This window comes from Homo sapiens, chromosome 1 (genome assembly GCF_000001405.40).
Source record: "Homo sapiens chromosome 1, GRCh38.p14 Primary Assembly".
In the NCBI taxonomy this organism is placed as follows: Eukaryota; Metazoa; Chordata; class Mammalia; order Primates; family Hominidae; genus Homo; species Homo sapiens.
In genome coordinates this window covers 84,978,839-84,997,442 of record NC_000001.11, presented here as the reverse complement: position 1 = coordinate 84,997,442, position 18,604 = coordinate 84,978,839, and the positions used below count along the sequence as shown (strand labels likewise).

The following is an 18,604-nucleotide window of genomic DNA, read 5'->3' as shown; positions in this document are numbered from 1 at the left end:
ACAGGTCAGTGCCCCACGGCGCCCTTGGCGTGCCCCACGCCTCCCTGGGGGCCCCACCGCCGCCCCCTTTTGGGACTGCTTACTTCCTCGGCTCTTCTCGCGCGCGCCTCGGTTCCATCCCCTACGGCCCCCACCCCGCCTCCGCGTCGCCGACCCCCTTCTCCGGGAGCGCGGGGAGGCTGGTCCGCTGAAGCGTGGAATAAGTCCCCTAGGACCCCAACTGGGGAAGCTCCGGTCCCCGGTAGGAGGCGGCGGGGCGGGGCGGGGCGGGGCAGCCCCTTGGGGGCGGGGCGGGAGCGCCTGGCCACGCGCCGCATCCTGCAGGGTGCACACAGAGCCGCCTTTCAGCCGCCCGAGAACTGCCCGCCGCACTCCACGACTGCGGCGCCTGCTCTCGGGCCGGGGTCTGCGCGCACCACGCGGCCGGCAGAAAGGGTAAGAGAAGGGAACCCCGCTTTGCAGGGCTCCAACTTCGGCGGACGCGTTACGGCGAGGGCGAAATGAGTCGGCCGTGAACGGTGTTTCCTGTTCCGAATCCCGAGAGCCCTGGAAAGTTTTGAAGGAGGAGGCATGGCCCGGCAGCCTTATCGTTTTCCCCAGGCAAGGATTCCGGAGAGAGGATCAGGTGTTTTCAGGTTAACCGTCAGGTGAGGAGTCTGGGCTTCATCTTTCAGGATGCTGGACTGGAGAAATCTTCCTAAAGTCGATGGCTTTACTTTCGTAGACTAGAGCTTGCTTGCTGCCTTGGGAATGCTTATATTAACTGCTTGCAGTTAGTTAAATAAGGCTAGGCTGTGCCTTCCAGAACAAACAGGCCTTTCCCTCAGGTGGGAGGGTTGTAGTGTGGCTAACCCCAGTTCCTCGGCCTTTATGAAAAGGCGCACAGTTCAGCCGGTTGGCGCTGCCAGCGGGCCCCTCCTCCGTGGTCAAACCTCCAGCCACCCCAGCACAGTTGAGCCAAAGTTGTGAGTACAAACAGACCTTGGCTCCCCCGTTTCCTGCTCTCCAAACATATATATATATATATATATATATATATATATATATATGAAATATATACGTATGTGTAAGTGTGTGTGTCTCTGGTTGAACGGTACTTGTGGGAAACAAAATTGTGTGTCATTGTAAACTGAGAATGGAAGAAAAGGTTAGTAAGAGAAAGGTGGGAGAGGTTTCTTATGGGTGTCAGGATGTAGACTCTGATATTTTATGTAGAGGGAACCAACTACGTAGTTCTCCCCAGAAATGGGATGTGGGTTTCACTCTCAGGAGCTGCTCATCACCTTTGTGATGTGCTAACCAAAATCGCACAACTTTTGGGAAATTTGATAGCTTTCCCCTATTGAGTCAGAAGTTTCTTGAGACTTTAGCCTGTCTTCCTCTTCATACCTTAAGAGGAGTCAAACTCCCGTTGCCGTGAACTTTCCACAGGCACACCCTTCTCCTTTAGAAAACCGTTCATAGGTCAGTTTCTGTGGCCGGAACTCTAAAAACGACACATTTTCCATACAGAGGCCATCATAATACCAATTTTATTTAACCTCCTGTAATAAAAAATGAGTGAATCCTAATAAAGTGTTTGAGGTAGCCACATTCTTTTCTGTGAAGGAGGAACATATCAAAAGTGTTTTTTTTTAAAAAAATAGAGTAATAGATATAAAATATTTTAATGAAGCAAGTGAGAAGAACTGAGAGACATAGTTTGAGCAAAGGGGCACGAAATACAGAACTGAAAGTCAAGAATGATCATATTCACAAGCTGATCTCTTTGGCTATGTCTCTGTCAGTGAAGTGAAACCTAGAACAAGACAATTTTAAAACCGGCGGAAAAAGAGATGGCTTCTTGTGACTATAGCTTTCAAAGTAAAAGTAGTGGCCAAAGAAAACTCTTCTGGCTGTAAAAGTAAAAGTGGACTTTCCTGAAGCTGGGCTGTTTTCTTTAAGGCCTAGGGTCTAAGTTCCGTGTGTCAGTTCTGAAGAATTAAATCACTCTTTAGTGAGCTCTTGTGTCACATGTTAAGGGGTTCATAGAAAAAAGTGCAGGCATACCTTGTTTTATTGTTCTTTGCTTTATTGCACTTTGTAGATACTGCATTTAATTCAATTTTATTTTATTTTACAAATTGAAGGTTTGTGGCAACCCTGTGTCCAGCAAGTCTATTGGTGCCATTTTTCCAACAGCATGTGCTCACTTTGTGTCTCTATGTCACATTGTGGCAATTCTCTCAATATTTCAAACTTTTTCATCATTATTATTATATCTGTTATGGTGATCTGTGACCACTGATCTTTGATGTGACTACTGTAATTGTTTTGGGGTGCCATGAACTGTGCCCATATAAGACAGGGAACTCAATTAATAAATGTTGTATGTGTTCTGACTACTCCACCGACCAGCCATTCTTCTATCTCTTTTCCTCTCCCCAACCCTCTCTATTCCCTGAGACACCACAATATTGAAATTAGCCCAACTAATAACCCTACAGTGGTCTCTAAGTGTTTGAGTGCAAGGGACAATCACAGGTCTCTTACTTTAAAGGTAGGAGTGATTAAGCTTAGTGAGGAAGGTATGTTGAAAGCTGAGACAGACCAAAAGCTAGGCATTTTGTGCCATTTAGCCAAGTTTTGAATGCATATGAGATGTTCTTGAAGGAAATTATAAGTGCTACTCCAGTGAAAATACAAATGATAAGGAAGCAAAACAGCCTTATTGCTGTTATGGAGAAAGTTTTTGTGGTCTGGATAGAAGATCAAACCAGCACCAACATTCACTAAAGCTAAAGCATAATCTAGAGCAGGCCCAAACTCTCTTCAATTCTGTGAAGGCTGAGAGAGGTAATGAAGCTGCAGAAGAAAAGTTTCAAGCTAGCAGAGGTTGGTTCATGAGCTTTAAGAAAGGAAGCCATCTCTATAACATGTAAGTGCAAGGCGAAGCAGAAAGTGCTGATATAGAAGCTGCAGCAAGTTAGTTGGAAGATGTAGCTAAGATCATTGATGAAGGAGGCTACTCTAAACAACAGATTTTCAATGTAGACAAAACAGCCTTCTATTGGCAGGAGATGCCATCTAGGACTTTCCTAGTAGAGAGGACAAGCCAGCATCTGATTTCAAAGGTGCAAAGGACAGGATGACTCTCTAGTTAGGAACTAGTACAGCTGGTGACTTTTAAGTTGAAGCCAGTGCTCATTTACCATTCCAAAAATCCTAGGGCACTTAAGAATTATGTTAATCTACTCTGCCTCTGCTTTGTAAATGGAACAACAAAGCCTAGATGACAGTACACTTGTTTACAGCATGATTTACTGAATATTTTAAGCTCATGGTTGAGACCTACTGCTCAGAAAAAAAGATTTCTTTCAAAATATTACTGCTCATTGATAATACCTCTGATCATTGAAAAGTTCTGATGGAGATGTACAAGGAGATGAATGTTGTTTTCATATATGTTAACACAACATCCATTCTGCAGCCCATGGATCAAGGAGTAATTTCAACTTTCAAGACTTATTATTTGGCCGGGCGCGGTGGCTCACACCTGTAATCCCAGCACTTTGGGAGGCCGAGGCGGGTGGATCATGAGGTCAGGAGATCGAGACCATCCTGGCTAACAAGGTGAAACCCCGTCTCTACTAAAAATACAAAAAATTAGCCGGGCGTGGTGGCGGGCGCCTGTAGTCCCAGCTACTCGGGAGGCTGAGGCAGGAGAATGGCGTGAACCCGGGAGGCGGAGCTTGCAGTGAGCCGAGATTGCGCCACTGCAGTCCGCAGTCCGGCCTGGGCGACAGAGCGAGACTCCGTCTCAAAAAAAAAAAAAAAAAAAAAAGACATTATTTAAGAACTACATTTTGTAACATTATAGGTTGCCATCGAAAATTATTCCTCTGATGAATCTGGACAAAGTAAACCCTTCTGGAAAGGATTCATCATCATGGATGCCATTAAGAATATTCATGATTCATGGGAATAGGTCAAAATATTAACATTAACAGGAGTTTGGAAGAAGTTGATTTTATCCCTCATGGATGACTTTGAAGGGGTCCAGATTTCAGTAGAGGAAGTATTAGGTCAGTGAAAAAGTAATTGTGGGTTTTGTCCTTACTTTTAATGGCAAAAAAACACAATTACTTTTGCAGCGATCTGCTAACCACAGATGTGGTGGAAATACCCAGAAAACTAGAAGAGAAGCCTGAAGATGTGACAGAATTGCTGCAATCTCATGATCAAACTAGAATGGATGAGGAGTTGTTTGTTATGGATGAGCAACGAAAGTGGTTTCTTGAGATGGAATCTACTCTTGGTGAAGATGCTATGAACATTGTTGAAATGACAACACATAATTTAGCATATTCCGTAAACATAGTTGATAAAACAGCAGCAAGGTTTGAGAGGACTGACTCCAATTTTGAAAGAAGTTCTACTGTAGGTAAAATGCAATCAAACAGCGTTGCATGCAACAGAGAAATATTTTGTGACAGGAAGAGTTAATTGATATATCAGACTTCATTGTTGTCTTCTTTTAAGAAATTGCCCTAACCACCCCAGCCTTCAGCAACCACCACCCTGATCAGTCAGCAGCCATCAACAAGGAGGCAAGACCCTCCACCAGCAAAAAGATTACAGCTTGCTGAAGGTTCAGATGATTGTTAGCATTTTTTAGTATGAAGTACTTTTAAATTAAGGTGGTTTTTTTAGACATAATGCTATTGCAGACTTAATAGACTATGGTATAGTGTAAACATAACTTTTATATGCACTGGAAAACCAAAAAATTTGTGTGACTTGCTTTACTGCAGTATTTGCTTTATTGTGGTGATCTGGAACCAAACTTGCAATATCTCTGAGGTGTGCCTGTAATTTTATTTCCAGACTTCATCTTATCAAACTACAATGTTCTGTTCAGTATTAAATGTTTACAGCCATGTTTTTGGTTTGTTTATTTGTTTGCTTTGGCAATCATCTGAATTTTTTTTTCTTCCCGTTCTTCTCAGCCTGCCTATAGCTGAGCTTTCTACTCTGTTTTGAGCTTGGGCCTCAGCCCCTTTTTTCCTGGTATGAGAGACTGTGTCCAGCGAATGTTGTCCATATTCCTTTTCCCTCAGCTGGGTGGGCTGTTTCCTTTCTTCTCTTTTGAAGGTTGTGTTTTGTTTTCTCCCCTTGAATACATCTCTGTAATTTCAGCCTAAAACATCTGCGAGGCAATAATTGATAACTCATGAGGCAGAAGATTCTTGAAAATAGTCTTTGGTGTAATTCTAGAAGACCCACAATTTAAATGGTGGCCTTAAAAAATTGTACTACTTATGCCAACTACAGGGATTTTCTAGAGATAGCTAGAATGTAGGGATTCACCAACATGAAACTGAGTTGGGCTTGTCCAAAATTAAGGTAACCTCAATGCTTTGAGGAAAAAATGATTATTTCTTTATAATTTCTTTTCCTTAGGGAGAGTCATCAGCATGACTCTATTAAGTTGGGCTCTTACTGAAAATATTGGAGAAAGAAAAATGTTAGGAAATGTCATAATTCCAGTCATCTTCCTCAGTTTTAACTGCATGTGGAATCCTTTATTGCTGAGAAATGGAGTTTCCCTTTCTTTATCTCTTCCTCAGAGAACTGTTTCTTCTAGTTTCCAAAGGAGTGTGGCTTGTTTAGAAGAAGCACTTTAAAAGTATGCAGCCCTAGTTCTGCTTTCCTGGTGTTCAGAGGCAGCAAAGTGGTGATCAGAGGTGATTTTTAGGAACTTGGTGGCACGGTTGTCTGTAGGAAAACTCCTGAAGGGTTAGCATGTTCATCTTTCATGAGTGGCTCTAATGGAAAATGAAAAGCCCCTATGGCCTTTCTTCAGGGGGCTTCTTAGGGTTAGAATGACCATGTCATTTATGTTCTGAGAGCTGTGCTGAGAAGGGAACCAAAGTTTTCTTCTTTGCCTTTTTTCCCCTCAACTTCACTTAATTGACATCTGCCTGCCCTACTCAGCTACCTCAAAACCTCAGTTGGCTAGATATTTTTCTTTCTTCCTCTCTTGTGAGACTAGCAGATCACGAGAAAATTTGTTCATCGTAGGAATTGGAGTGAAAAAATGACGTGCGAGTTGTTAGGAATGGTCTAAAGCATTTTATCTGTTGAACTGCCCCTGGTATTATCCTGGGGCCAACACAGTCATTACTGTAGAAACATTGAATTTTAGTCTCCGTATCTATCACTTCTTCCACCCTCTACCCCAAACCAGTCGTGCACAAACTAAGGCAGGGAAATACCTGACTAGCTGATACATACCAGACTCTTTCTTTTTGAAATGGCCCATTTTAACTCATAATAATAACTCAAGAATTCATACGTTAACCACCAAAAATGAAAAAAATATGGAAAACTTAATGAAGAAAATTAAGATTACCTATAATACTACTTCACAGAGATTATAAAAATATGGAGGCTTTTTTGGCTGGCTCACATGCTTCTAGACTTTAAAATGTCTATATACACATATAAATGCTAGCTTTTTTTTTTCCAGCCTGGGTCGTGTTCTGTCACCCAGGCTGGAGTGCAGTGGCACAATGACAGCTTACTGCAGCCTCAAACTTCAAGGCTCAAGCGATCCTCCTGCCTCAGCCCCCCCAAGTAATTGGGACTACAGGTGCCTGCCACCACTCCTGGCTAGCTTATTATTATTAATTATTATTATTATTTCTAGAGATGGGGGTCTCCCTATGTTGCTCAGACTGGTCTCAAACTCCTGGGCCCAAGGGATCCTCCTGCCTCAGCTTCCCAAAGCTCTGGGATTACAGGCCTAAGCCACCATGCCCAGCTTATGCTGACATTTTTTGAAAAATGAGATCTCACTATATCTATTCTGTAACTTTAAAAAAATTACAATATGTTATAGACATCTTCAAGTCAGTGCAAAGGTACGAATAGGGCCGCAATTAACATTTCTATAACTAACTCATTATTTTAAAATTTGTATTATAAATCCATAGAAGTTTGATTCTTTTTTTTAATTATTATTATACTTTAAGTTTTAGGGTACATGTGCACAATGTGCAAGTTAGTTACATATGTATACATGTGCCATGCTGGTGTGCTGCACCCATTAACTCGTCATTTAGCATTAGGTATTTTTTTTTTTTTTTTTTTTTTTTTTTTTTGAGATGGAGTCTCATTCTGTTGCCCAGGCTGGAGTGCAGTGGCGCGATCTCAGCTCACTGCAACCTCCGCCTCCCAGGTTCAAGCGATTCTCCTGCCTCAGCCTCCCAAGCAGCTGGGATTACAGGAGCACACCACCATGCCCGGCTAATTTTTTTTGTGTTTTTAGTAGAGATGGGGTTTCACTATGTTGGCCAGACTTGCCTCAAACTCCTGACCTCGTGATCCGCCTGCCTTGGCCTCCCAAAGTGCTGGGATTACAGGTGTGAGCCACCACGCCCGGCCCAGAAGTTTGATTCTTAAGTCACTTTTATAGATACTGCCCAAGTGCCAATCCAAATTTACATTTCTTTTAATAGTTTGAAAATCATTCCTCATAAATAAAAATTAAGATAGGTTTTTACCAACCTGATTGTTAGTAAATTTTTATTGTTCAATGTTCACTGGCTTGTTCAGATTCATTGCCTATTACATTGGATTGTCTTTTTCTTAATAGTCTGGAGCTCTTTACAGATCACAATAGATAGTTAACTTTTGCCTGTGTAAATATATTGCACATTTTTCTCCAAATCTCTTTGTCTTTTAACTTTTTGAAGTCTTAAATTTTTATGTTAAGATCTTTCAGTCATTTTTACATCTTCTAAATTTTTTTGTACTTAAAAAGGCATGTTAAATTATTTTAAAAATCCTATATATTATACTACTATCAATTTTGTTTTAAAAATATGTCTAAATTTTATTTTTGCACTCAGTTTGAGAGAATACTCTTTCTCTTTCCCAAATGGATAGCAAATTATTTTAATAACAACTCATTGAATAATTTATTCTTTGGAAAGACTAGGAATAATGAGTAAAACAAAGTAGGGTTTCTATCATCAGCAAACCAGGCAACTAAATTACCTACAACTTGCTAATGTATCTTGACTAAGTAAGACTTACTTTTAAATATATTTTTAATTCACTTTTTAATACTAATATTTTAGACTTTCTATTATTTTTATCATGTTATTAATATTGTTGTTATTATTATTTGATCACAAAAGATATTAACCAAGGAAAAGTTCGTGTAGTCAAGATTGATGTCTCATTATTGATTCATTTGTTTTTTCCAACAGATTTTCATTGAACACCTATTATGTGTTAGATACTATGCTGTATGCTGGGCTATATGGTTATAAACAAGACCCACCCTTCATGAAGTCCATTGTAGGGGAGACCAATAAAGATTGTGATTGCAATTATGAAGGAAATAAAGTGATGATAGAGGCAGTGGGGAAGGCCACATTAATAGAGTGGCCAGAGAGCCCTCTCTACCGAGGTGTCATTTGTGCTGAGAGATGAAGGGTGACAGGAAGAAACCAGACACACAAAGAGCTGGGGGAACAGCAGTAGGGTGGATGAAATGGTGAGTGAAATGTGCAGAGCGGGGACTGTCCACACCCAGGAAGGAAGTCATTGTGTAGTGAGGAAGGGGAAGAGGGTATGGGAGGAGTGGGCAGGAGTCTTTTAGCAGTTGTAGGAGGTTTGGATTTTACTCTGAGAGAAGGGGAAAGCCCCTAAAGGGTTTTCAACAAAGAAGTGATATCTGACTTATGCTTTTAAAATTACCCCTCTGGCCACTATGTGAAGAATTGGGAGGCTATTGCAGTTGGGTAAGAGATGACAGTGCTTGGACCAGGGAGGCTGCAGTGCATAGACAGTGATGGGGACCACTCCTTGTGGTTTTGAAGGAAAACTTGATAAATTGAATGTGAGAATTGAATACAAAGGGAACTCAAAGTATACTTTAGAGCAGTATACTTTAGAGCAAAGTATACTTTGCTACACATTAGAATCACCTGAGTAACTTATAAAAATCTTGATGCCCAGTTCAGTCATCCTACTAATTAAATCAGAATGTCTTGGGGCTGAGAGGCAAGCGCTGAAATATTTTAAAAATCCTCAGGTGGGCTGGACACAGTGGCTCACACCTGTAATCACAGCACTTTGGGAGGCCGAGGTGGGAGGATTGCTTGAGTCCAAGAGTTCAAGACCAGCCTGTGCAACATAGCAAAACCTGTCTCCATTTAAAAAAGCAAAAATTAAAATTAAAAAAAAATCCTCAGATGATTCTGCTGTGCACCCAAGATGGAGAATGGACTAAGGATTGCAGCTGGGCCACTGATTGCACTAAGGATTCCAACTGAAGCATTTTTTAAAAATACTAATAGCAATGCATTTCTTTTAAAAAAATTATTTCAGTAGTTTTTAGGGAACAGGTGGCATTTGGTTACATGAATAAGTTCTTTAGTGGTGATTTCTGAAATTTTTGTGCACCCATCACCCAAGCAGTGTACACTGTACCCAGTCTGTATTCTTTTATCTTTTACGCCATTCCAACCCTTTCCCGAGTCGCCAAAGTCCATTGTATCATTCTTATGCCTTTGCATCCTCACAGCTTAGCTCACACCTATAAGTGAGAATATATGATGTTTGTTTTTCCATTCCTGAGTTACTTCACTTAGAATAATGGTCTCCAGATCCATCCAGGTTGCTGCAAATGCCATTATTTTGTTCCTTTTTATAGCTGAGTAGCATTCAATGGTGTATATATAATCTATATACATCTATACATCTATATATCTATATACATATATACATATGTATGTATATATTTCTATATACATATATACATATGTATATATAGATTGATATACATCTATATACATATGTATATATCTATGTATACATCTATGTATACATAGATGTATACATCTATGTATACATAGATGTATACATATATACATATGTATACATCTATGTATACATATGTATATATGTATATATATCTATATATACATATATGTATATATGTATATATCTATATACGTATATAGGTATATACATATATAAATATATCTATATACATATGTATATATCTATATAAATATATGGATATATATCTACATATATCTATATACATATATCTATATATCTATATACATATAGATGTATATGTATCTACATGGCATATGTATATAGATATATATATACATCTATATGTATATCTATATACATATCTATATAGCTGTATATATATGCCATATATATAGATAGATAGATAGATAGATAGATAGATAGATATGCCTATATATATCACCTTTTCTTTATCCATTCATTGATTGATGAGCATCTGGGCTGGTTTTATATTTTTGCAGTTACAAATTGTGCTGCTATAAACATGCGTGTACAAGTATCTTTTTCATATAACGACTTCTTTTCTTCTGGGTAGATACCCAGTAGTGGGCTTGCTGGATCAAATAGTAGTTCTACTTTTAGTCCTTTAAGGAATCTCCACATTGTTTTCAGTGGTTGTATGAGTTTACATTCCCATCAGCAGTTTAAAAGTGTTGCCTTTTCACCCCATCCCCGCCAACATCTATTTTTTGATTTTTTGATTATGGTTATTCTTGCAGGAGTGAGGTGGTATCACATTGTGGTTTTGATTTGCATTTCCCTCATCATTAGTGATGTTGAGCATTTTTTCGTATGTCTGTTGGCTATTTGTATATCTTCTTTTGAGAATTGTCTATTCATGTCTTTAGCCCACGTTTTGATGGGATTATTTTTTTTTCTTGCTGATTTGAGTTCCTTGTAGATTCTGGATATTAGTCCTTTGTCAGATGTATAGATTGTGAGATTTTCTCTCACTCATTGGGTTGTCTATTCTGCTGATTGTTTCTTTTGCTGTGCAGAAGCTTTTTTTTTTTTTTTTTTGAGATGGAGTTTTGATCTTGTTACCCAGGCTGGAGCGCAATGGCACTATCTTGGCTCTTTGCAACCTCCGCCTCCTGGGTTCAAGTGATTCTCCTGCCTCAGCCTCCCTAGTAGCTGGGATTATAGGCATGCGCCACCACCATGCCTGGCTAATTTTGTATTTTTAGTAAAGACAGGGTTTCTCCATGTTGGTCAGGCTGGTCTTGAACTCCCAACCTCAGGTGATCTGCCCACCTCGGTCTCCCAAAATGATGGGATTATAGGCGTGAACTACCACGCCCGGCCCAGTTTTATTCTTCTACATGTGGCCTGCCAATTATTCCAGCACCATTTGTTGAATAGGGTATCCTTTCCCCACTTTATGGTTTTGTTTGCTTTGTCGAAGATTAGTTGGCTGTAAGTATTTGGCTTTATTTCTGGGTTCTCTATTCTGTTCCATTGGTTTGTATGCCTGTTTTTATATCAGTACCATGCTGTTTTGGTGACTGTGGCCTTAGAGTATAGTTTGAAGTCAGGTAATGTGATGCCTCCAGATTTGTTCTTTTTGCTTAGTCTTGCTTCAGCTATGCAGGCTCTTTTTTGGTTCCATATGAATTTTAGGATTTTTTTTCCTAGTTCTGTGAAGAATGGTGGTGGTATTTTGATGGGAATTGCATTGGACTTGTAGATTGCTTTTGGCAGTATGGTCATTTTCACAATATTGATTCTACCCATCCATGAGCGTGGGATGTGTTTCCATTTGTTTGTGTCATCTATGATTTCTTTTAGCAGTGTTTGGTAGGTTTCCTTGTAGAGGTCTTTCACCTCCTTGGTTAAGTGTATTCCTAATTTTAAATTTTGGTTTTTTTTGCAGCTGTTGTGAAAGGGGTTGAGTTCTTTATTTGATTCTCAGCTTGGTCAGCAGCTGAAGCATTTGAATAAGTGTGTACAGATCACTGCTTTGAGCAGATGGGTGGAGGAGCAGGTGGAGGGCAGGTTTGAGAGACCAATTAGACCTGTGGGTGGAGTTTCATAAAAAGGGTTGGATAAGGAAGTCTGCTCAAGAGAGAGATTTGCTGGAGATGCAAATATGGAAACCCACATCATGTAGAGAGTATTTAAAGTCATAGGATTGGACAAGCTGTTTTAGAACAGAAGATGGAGACTAGAAGAACCCATACTGTGCCCCAAGGCACTCTGACATCAAGAGGAGGGGGGTGTCCTGGAAACTGACAGAAGAGGTTGTCCCAAGGAGGTAGTGGTCAGCTGTATCAAATGCTGCTGAGCCAATAAGCCTGAAAAGTGTTTATTAGAATCTATAGCAAGAAATGGTTTACCCTGAGCATTTTAATGGAGTAATAGAAATGGGAACCCAGTGTTTGTTCTAGAGAATCTGTACCACAAAGTCAGCTTGAGGAGGTAAATGCTGGGTTCGTTCCATCAGATGGCTTTACTTTTTTTTTTTTCCTCATTTTGATAATATGACCATGTAGAAGTTTCTTGAATGTATGGACTAGGATGGCTGTTTGCCAAAATGTCACACATTTTTAATTTTATTTCAATTTTTCTTTGAGACAGGGTCTTGCTCTGTTGCAGACTGGAGTACACTGGTGTGATCACAGCTCACTGCAGCCTCGACCTCCCTGGACTTGAGCAATCCTCCCACCTCAGCCTCCCAAGTAGCTGGGACTACAGGCACGAGCCAGCATGCCCAGCAAACTTTTTGTATTTTTAGTACAGACGGGTTTTGCCATGTTGCCCAGGCTGTTCTCAAACTCCTGAGCTCAAGTGATCCACCGCCTTGGCCTCCCAAAGTGCTAGGATTACAGGCAAGAACCACCACATTTGGCCATATTGAGTTATTTTATCCTTTGGTATTAATATATTGCTTGCTTTCAACAAAACAGGAAGAGAGGAATGGATACTGCGCAGGCAACTAGTAGTGTCTGTCACAGGAAGTCTTAACAATTTACTTTTCAGGCTTCCTTTCCCAGGAAGGGATTGAAGAATATTCTCCACAAAATGAGAGAGTAAAGAAAGAAGCAGACATGGGATCCAAGAGATGGGGATTCCAATTTAGGAAGGTGGTGAAGGAGTTCCCAAAGTTATGGCCTTGAAAAGTGATTAGAAAGCAACCAGGTAGATTTGAGCAAAAGGATTGTGCAAAAGCATTGATGTCTCTCTGTGGAAGAAAGGAATTGACAGGGTACCTGGCTTGTGTGTATTTAAGGGTGCTGTCAGATTCAGCCAGAGTTTGGTGATAAAGTTATAGTTGGTATGCAGAAAACTAAACAAATGGGGAAAAGGGCAGTTAATTCCAGGAAAATAGTTGGAATGATGAAGAATATAACATTACAGTATGTTAATAGCTCAACTCTGAAGAATTTTTACATATTCACTTCATAAAATCTAATGTTAATTTATCCAAAATTTGCATTAAAACTTGGTTGGGAAGATGAGTAGGGAGGTGAAATGTATGTTGGGGAGCAGATATAAGAGCTAAATCCATATTTTCCAAGGGAGGATTCAAATTGATAATACCTAAAATGAAAAAATAGTGGCATAAGTATTATTTAGAAATTTTAAAGTAGGGCTGGGCGCAGTGGCTCACGCCTGTAATCCCAGCACTTTGGGAGGCCGAGGTGGGTGGACATAAGGTCAGGAGATCGAGACCAGCTTGGCCAACATGGTGAAACCCTGTCTCTACTAAAAATACAAAAATTAGCTGAGCGTGGAGGCGTGCGCCTGTAATCCCAGCTACTCGGGAGGCTGAGGCAGGAGAACTGCTTGAACCCGGGAGGCGGAGGTTGCAGTGAGCCGAGATCGCACCATTGCACTCCAGCCTGGGTGACAGGGCAAGACTCTGTCTCAAAAAAAAAAAAAAAAAAGAAATTTTAAAGTAAATGACTTTTAAAAAGACAGATAAAAGTAGTTGCACCTAAGGAACAGAAATCGGAGGTGGGGTTTATTAATAATTCATTTAAAATTATGTACAGACCAGGCGCAGTGTCTCACACACCTGTAATCCTAGCACTTTGGGAGGCCAGGGGGAAGGATCATCTGCATCCAGGAGTTTGAGACCAGTCTGGGCAACGTGGCAAGACCCTATCTCTACAAAAAAATAAAAAATAAGCTGGGCATGGCAGCATACACCTATGGTCCCAGCTACTCTGGAAGTGAGGCAGAAGGATTGCTTGAGCTCAGGATGTTAAGGCTGCAATGAGCCATGATTGCATCACTGCAATCCCACCTGGGTGACAGAGTGAGATCCTATCTCAAAAAAAGAAAAAGAAAAGAAAAACAAAAATACAGTTGTGTACATTATTAAATTTGGGGGAAATAAAGGTGGTGGGGAGTTAGGTGAGACCAGATTGTGCAGAGCCACACAGATTTGGGTTGCTGGTGTGGAGACCTGGGAGGCTGGCTTACCACTCACTGTGATGAGGATAAAAATGAAGGATAGATTTGGGAAGTGATTTGCCCTGCCTACCCTGCCCCATCCCCTGAGACTGGTAAGATATACTTGTGAATTAAAAAAAAAAAATTCTTCCGGACTCAGTGGCTCACCCCTGTAATCCCAACACTTTGGGAGGCCAGGGTGGGTGGATCACCTGAAGTCAGGAGTTCGAGACCAGCCTGGCCAACGCAGTGAAACCCTGTCACTACTAAAAATAAAAAATAATAATAATAAAAAATTAGCCGGGCATGGTAGCAGGTGCCTGTAGTCCCAGCTACTCTGGAGGCTGAGGCAGGATAATTGCTTGAACCTGCAAGGTGGAGGTTGCAGTGAGTCAAGATCGCACCACTGTACTCCATTTTCTGTATTTTCTGTTTGTTTGTTGGGGTCAGGGGAACAAACATAAATTTCTTTAAAGCTAACAAGTTTATAATAGCAGTTAGGACAACAAAGAACAACCACAGCTAAGGGGTGGTTGGAGCTCTGAAACAATAAGGAAGTAGTTCCAAATATTTTTTATAACTTGTTCCCAACAGTTGAAAGAACATTTACCCTCTCTAAATACGTATTCATTTACATATCATATGCTGAACCATATGTATATTATGAAACAGATAAAATGAACATTTTAAGGCATGGGATAGATGAGGATATTAAAAATGAATTGCCAGGCTGGACATGGTGGCTCATTGCCTGTAATCCTAGCATTTTGGGAGGCCAAGGCCGGAGGCTTGCTTGAGGCCAGGAGTTCAAGACCAACCTGGCCAACATAGTGAGACCCCATCTCTATTTTTTTATTTTAAAAAATTAAAATAAAAAAATGAATTGCCAAATGCAGCAACTTTATGTTATGACTTCATAGTGTCATTAGCAAATATCTTATGGTACTATATATTTAGAGCCATGCACCTCATTTAGCAGTAGTAGATTTAACCAATATTTTAAATTGTTTTCTTGATAAATCTGCTTCCCCCCACCCCAGCTTCTTTTCAAATCAGATACACTTTTCATCTTTTTTTTAAAAAAAAAAAAACCCATGGCTAACAACATTTAGAGTGTTAGCTCTCCTATTTTTTGATATTAATTTAGGCTTACATTAGTTTTACAATAAACGTAATTTTTTGCAATAATTTTTTATCTTTTATTTTTAATTTTTGTGGGTACATTGTAGATGTAATATTTATGGGATACATCAGATGTTTTGATACAGGCATGTAATGCATTATAATCACATCATGGAAAATGGGGTATTCATTCCCTCAAGCATTTATCCTTTGTGTTACAGACAGTCCAATTATACTCTTTAATTATTTTTAAATGTACAATTATTATTCACTGTAGTCACCTTGGAGTGCTATCAAATACTAGGTCTTATTCATTCTTTCTCTTTGTACCCATTAACCCATCCCTACTGCCCCTTTATCCCCCACCTCTCTGCCACACTATTCTTCCCAGCCGCTGGTAACCATCCTTCTACTCTCTCTGTCCATGAATTTAATTGTTTTGATTTTTAGATCACACAAATAAGTGAGAACATACGGTATTTGCCTTTCTGTGCCTGGCTTATTTTACTTAACATAATGATCGCCAGTTCCATCCATGTTGTTGCAAATGACAGGATCTCATTTTTTATGGCTGAATAGTACTCCATTGTGTGTATGTACCACATTTTCTTTATCCATTCTTCTGCTGATGGACATACAGATTGCTTCCAAATCTTAGCTATTGTGATCTGGTCTGCAACAAACATGAGAGTGCAGATATCTCTTCGATATTACTGATTTCCTTTATTTTTGGCATATACCCAGCAGTGGGATTGCTAGATCATATGGTAGCTCTATTTTTAGTTTTTTGAGGAACCTCCAAACTGTTCTCCATAGTGGTTGTACTAATTTACAGTCCCACCAACAGTGTATGAGGGTTCCCTTTTCTCAACATCCTCACCAGTGTTTGTTATTGCCTGTCTTTTGGATAAAAGCCATTTTAACTGGGGTGAGATGATATCTCATTGTAGTTTTGATTTGCGTTTCTCTAGTGATCAGTGATGTTGAGCACCTTTTCATATCCCTGTTTGTGATTTGTATGTCTTCTTTTGAGACATAACGAGTCTATTCAAGTCTTTTGCCCATTTTGCCATAACCAGATTATTAGGTTATTTTTTATAGAATTGTTTGAACTCCTTATATGTTCTGGCTGTTAATCTCCAGTTTGCAAATATCTTCTCCCTTTCTATGGGTTGTCTTTTCACTTTGTTGATTGTTTCCTTTGCTGTGCAGAAGCTTTTAAACTTGATTTGGTCCCATTCGTTCATGTTTGCTTTGGATCTGTGCTTGTGGGGTATTGCTCAGTAAATTTTTGTCCTGGAGATTTTCCCCAGTGTTTTCTTGTAGTAGTTTCATAGTTTGAGGTCTTAAAGTCTTTAATCCATTTTGATTTGATTTTTGTATATGGTGATAGATAGGGGTTTAGTTTCATTCTTTTGCATATGGATATCCAGTTTCCCCAACACCATTTATTTAAGAGACTGCCTTTTCCCCAGTTTATGTTCTTGTCACCTTTGTCAAAAATGAGTTCACTGTAGGTGTGTGGATTTGTTTCTGGGTTCTCTATTCCATTCCATTGGTCTGTGTATCTGTTTTTGTGTTTTGTATCTGTGTAATACCATGCTGTTTTGGTTAGTAAAGCTATGTGGTATATTTTGAAGTCAGATAATGTGATTCCTCCAGTTGTGTTCTTTTTGCTGAGGATAGCTTTGACTATTCTGGGTTCTTTGTGGTTCCATATCAATTTTAGGGTTTTTTTCTATTTCTATGAAGAATGTCGTGGATATTTTGATAGGGATTGCATTGAGTCTGTAGATTCCTTTGGAGTGTGGACGTTTTAACACTATTGATTCTTCCAATTTATGAACATGAAATTTCTCCATTTTTGGTGTCCTCTTCAATTTCTTTCATCAGTGTTTTACAGTTTTCATTATAGAGATCTTTCACTTCTTTGGATGAGTTAATTTCTAGGTATTTTATTTGTGGCTATTGTAAATGGGAGTACTTTTTAATTTTCTTTTTCAGATTGCTTACTCTTGCACATAGAAATGCTACTGATTTTTGTATGTTGATATTGTGTCCTGCAACTTTACTAAAATTGTTTATCAGTTCTAACTGTTTTTTAGTGGAGTCTTTAGTTTTTTTCCAAATATAAGATCATCTCATCTACAAACAAGGATAATATGACTTCTTCCTTTCCAATTTGGATACCCTTTATATCTTTCTCTTATCTGATTGCTCTAGCTAGAACTTCCAGTACTATGTTGAATAACAGTGGTGACAGTAGGCATCTTTGTTGTGTTCCAGATCTGAGAGGAAAGGCTTTCAGTTTTTCCCCATTCAGTATGATACTAGCTGTGGGTATGCTGTATATGGTTCTTATTATGTTGAGGTATATTCCTTCTATATCCAGTTTATTAAGGGTTTTTATCATGAAGCAATGTTGAATTTTATCAAATGCTTTTTCAGCATCAATTGAAATGATCATATTGTTTTTATTTTTCATTCTGTTAATATGATGCATCACATTGATTGATTTGCATATGTTGAACCATCCTTGCATCCCAGGGATAAATCCCACTTGGTCATGATGAATGATCTTTCTAATGTGTTGTTGAATTTGGTTTGCTAGTATTTTAGTTGAGGAGTTTTGCATTAATATTCATTAGAGATATTGGCCTGTAATTTTTTTTATGTGTCTTTGTCTGGTTTTGATATCAGGGTAATACTGGCCTCATAGGATGAGTTTGGAAGCATTGTTTCCTCTTCTATTTTTCAGAAAAGTTTGAGTAGGATTGGTATTAGTTCTTCTTTAAACATTTGGTAGAATTCAACAGTGAAGCTGTGATGGTTAATATGAGTGTCAACTTGATTGGATTGAAGGATACAAAGTATTGATCCTGGGTGTGTCTGTGAGGGTGTTAAGGAGATTAACATTTGAGTCAGTGGGCTGGGAAAGGCAGACCCACCCTTATTCTGGGTGGACACAATCTAATCAGCTGCCAGCTGGGCTAGAATAAGCAGGCAGAAAAATGTGAAAAGAGAGACTGGCCTAGTCTTCCACCCTATGTCTTTCTCCCATGCTGGATGCTTGCAGCCCTCAAACATCAGACTCCAAGTTCTTCAGTTTTAGAACTCGGACTGGCTCTCCTTGCTCCTCAACCTGCAGATGGCTTATTGTGGGACCTTGTGATCATGTGAGTTAATACTTAATATATGTATTATA

The 18,604-nt window shown here is 39.5% G+C and overlaps 1 protein-coding gene across 6 annotated transcripts in view, besides 5 other annotated features; it reads left to right on the top strand.

Annotated features, from left to right (window-relative positions):
- Positions 38 to 327: a silencer, noted in NCBI's record as "silent region_1028". NCBI's record gives its function as "represses an Ori minimal core promoter by ATAC-STARR-seq in GM12878 lymphoblastoid cells {active_cell/tissue: GM12878}" and the evidence as "EXISTENCE:reporter gene assay evidence [ECO:0000049][PMID:35858748]".
- The window catches only part of MCOLN2 (mucolipin TRP cation channel 2), a 71,531-nt gene continuing 53,256 nt past the window's right edge, over positions 330 to 18,604 (top strand). For 5 of the 6 annotated variants that reach the window (NM_153259.4, NM_001330647.2, XM_047416964.1 and 2 more), the window contains exon 1: positions 330 to 647. In NM_153259.4, the coding sequence (NP_694991.2) occupies positions 571 to 647 (77 nt within the window). In that variant the 5' untranslated portion in view covers positions 330 to 570. The remainder of the gene's footprint in view (positions 648 to 18,604) is intronic. The other variant, XM_005270719.4, reaches the window with a different exon arrangement.
- Positions 938 to 987: a silencer, noted in NCBI's record as "silent region_1027". NCBI's record gives its function as "represses an Ori minimal core promoter by ATAC-STARR-seq in GM12878 lymphoblastoid cells {active_cell/tissue: GM12878}" and the evidence as "EXISTENCE:reporter gene assay evidence [ECO:0000049][PMID:35858748]".
- Positions 1,788 to 1,847: an enhancer, noted in NCBI's record as "active region_1264". NCBI's record gives its function as "activates an Ori minimal core promoter by ATAC-STARR-seq in GM12878 lymphoblastoid cells {active_cell/tissue: GM12878}" and the evidence as "EXISTENCE:reporter gene assay evidence [ECO:0000049][PMID:35858748]".
- Positions 5,727 to 5,806: an enhancer, noted in NCBI's record as "active region_1263". NCBI's record gives its function as "activates an Ori minimal core promoter by ATAC-STARR-seq in GM12878 lymphoblastoid cells {active_cell/tissue: GM12878}" and the evidence as "EXISTENCE:reporter gene assay evidence [ECO:0000049][PMID:35858748]".
- Positions 12,055 to 12,134: an enhancer, noted in NCBI's record as "active region_1262". NCBI's record gives its function as "activates an Ori minimal core promoter by ATAC-STARR-seq in GM12878 lymphoblastoid cells {active_cell/tissue: GM12878}" and the evidence as "EXISTENCE:reporter gene assay evidence [ECO:0000049][PMID:35858748]".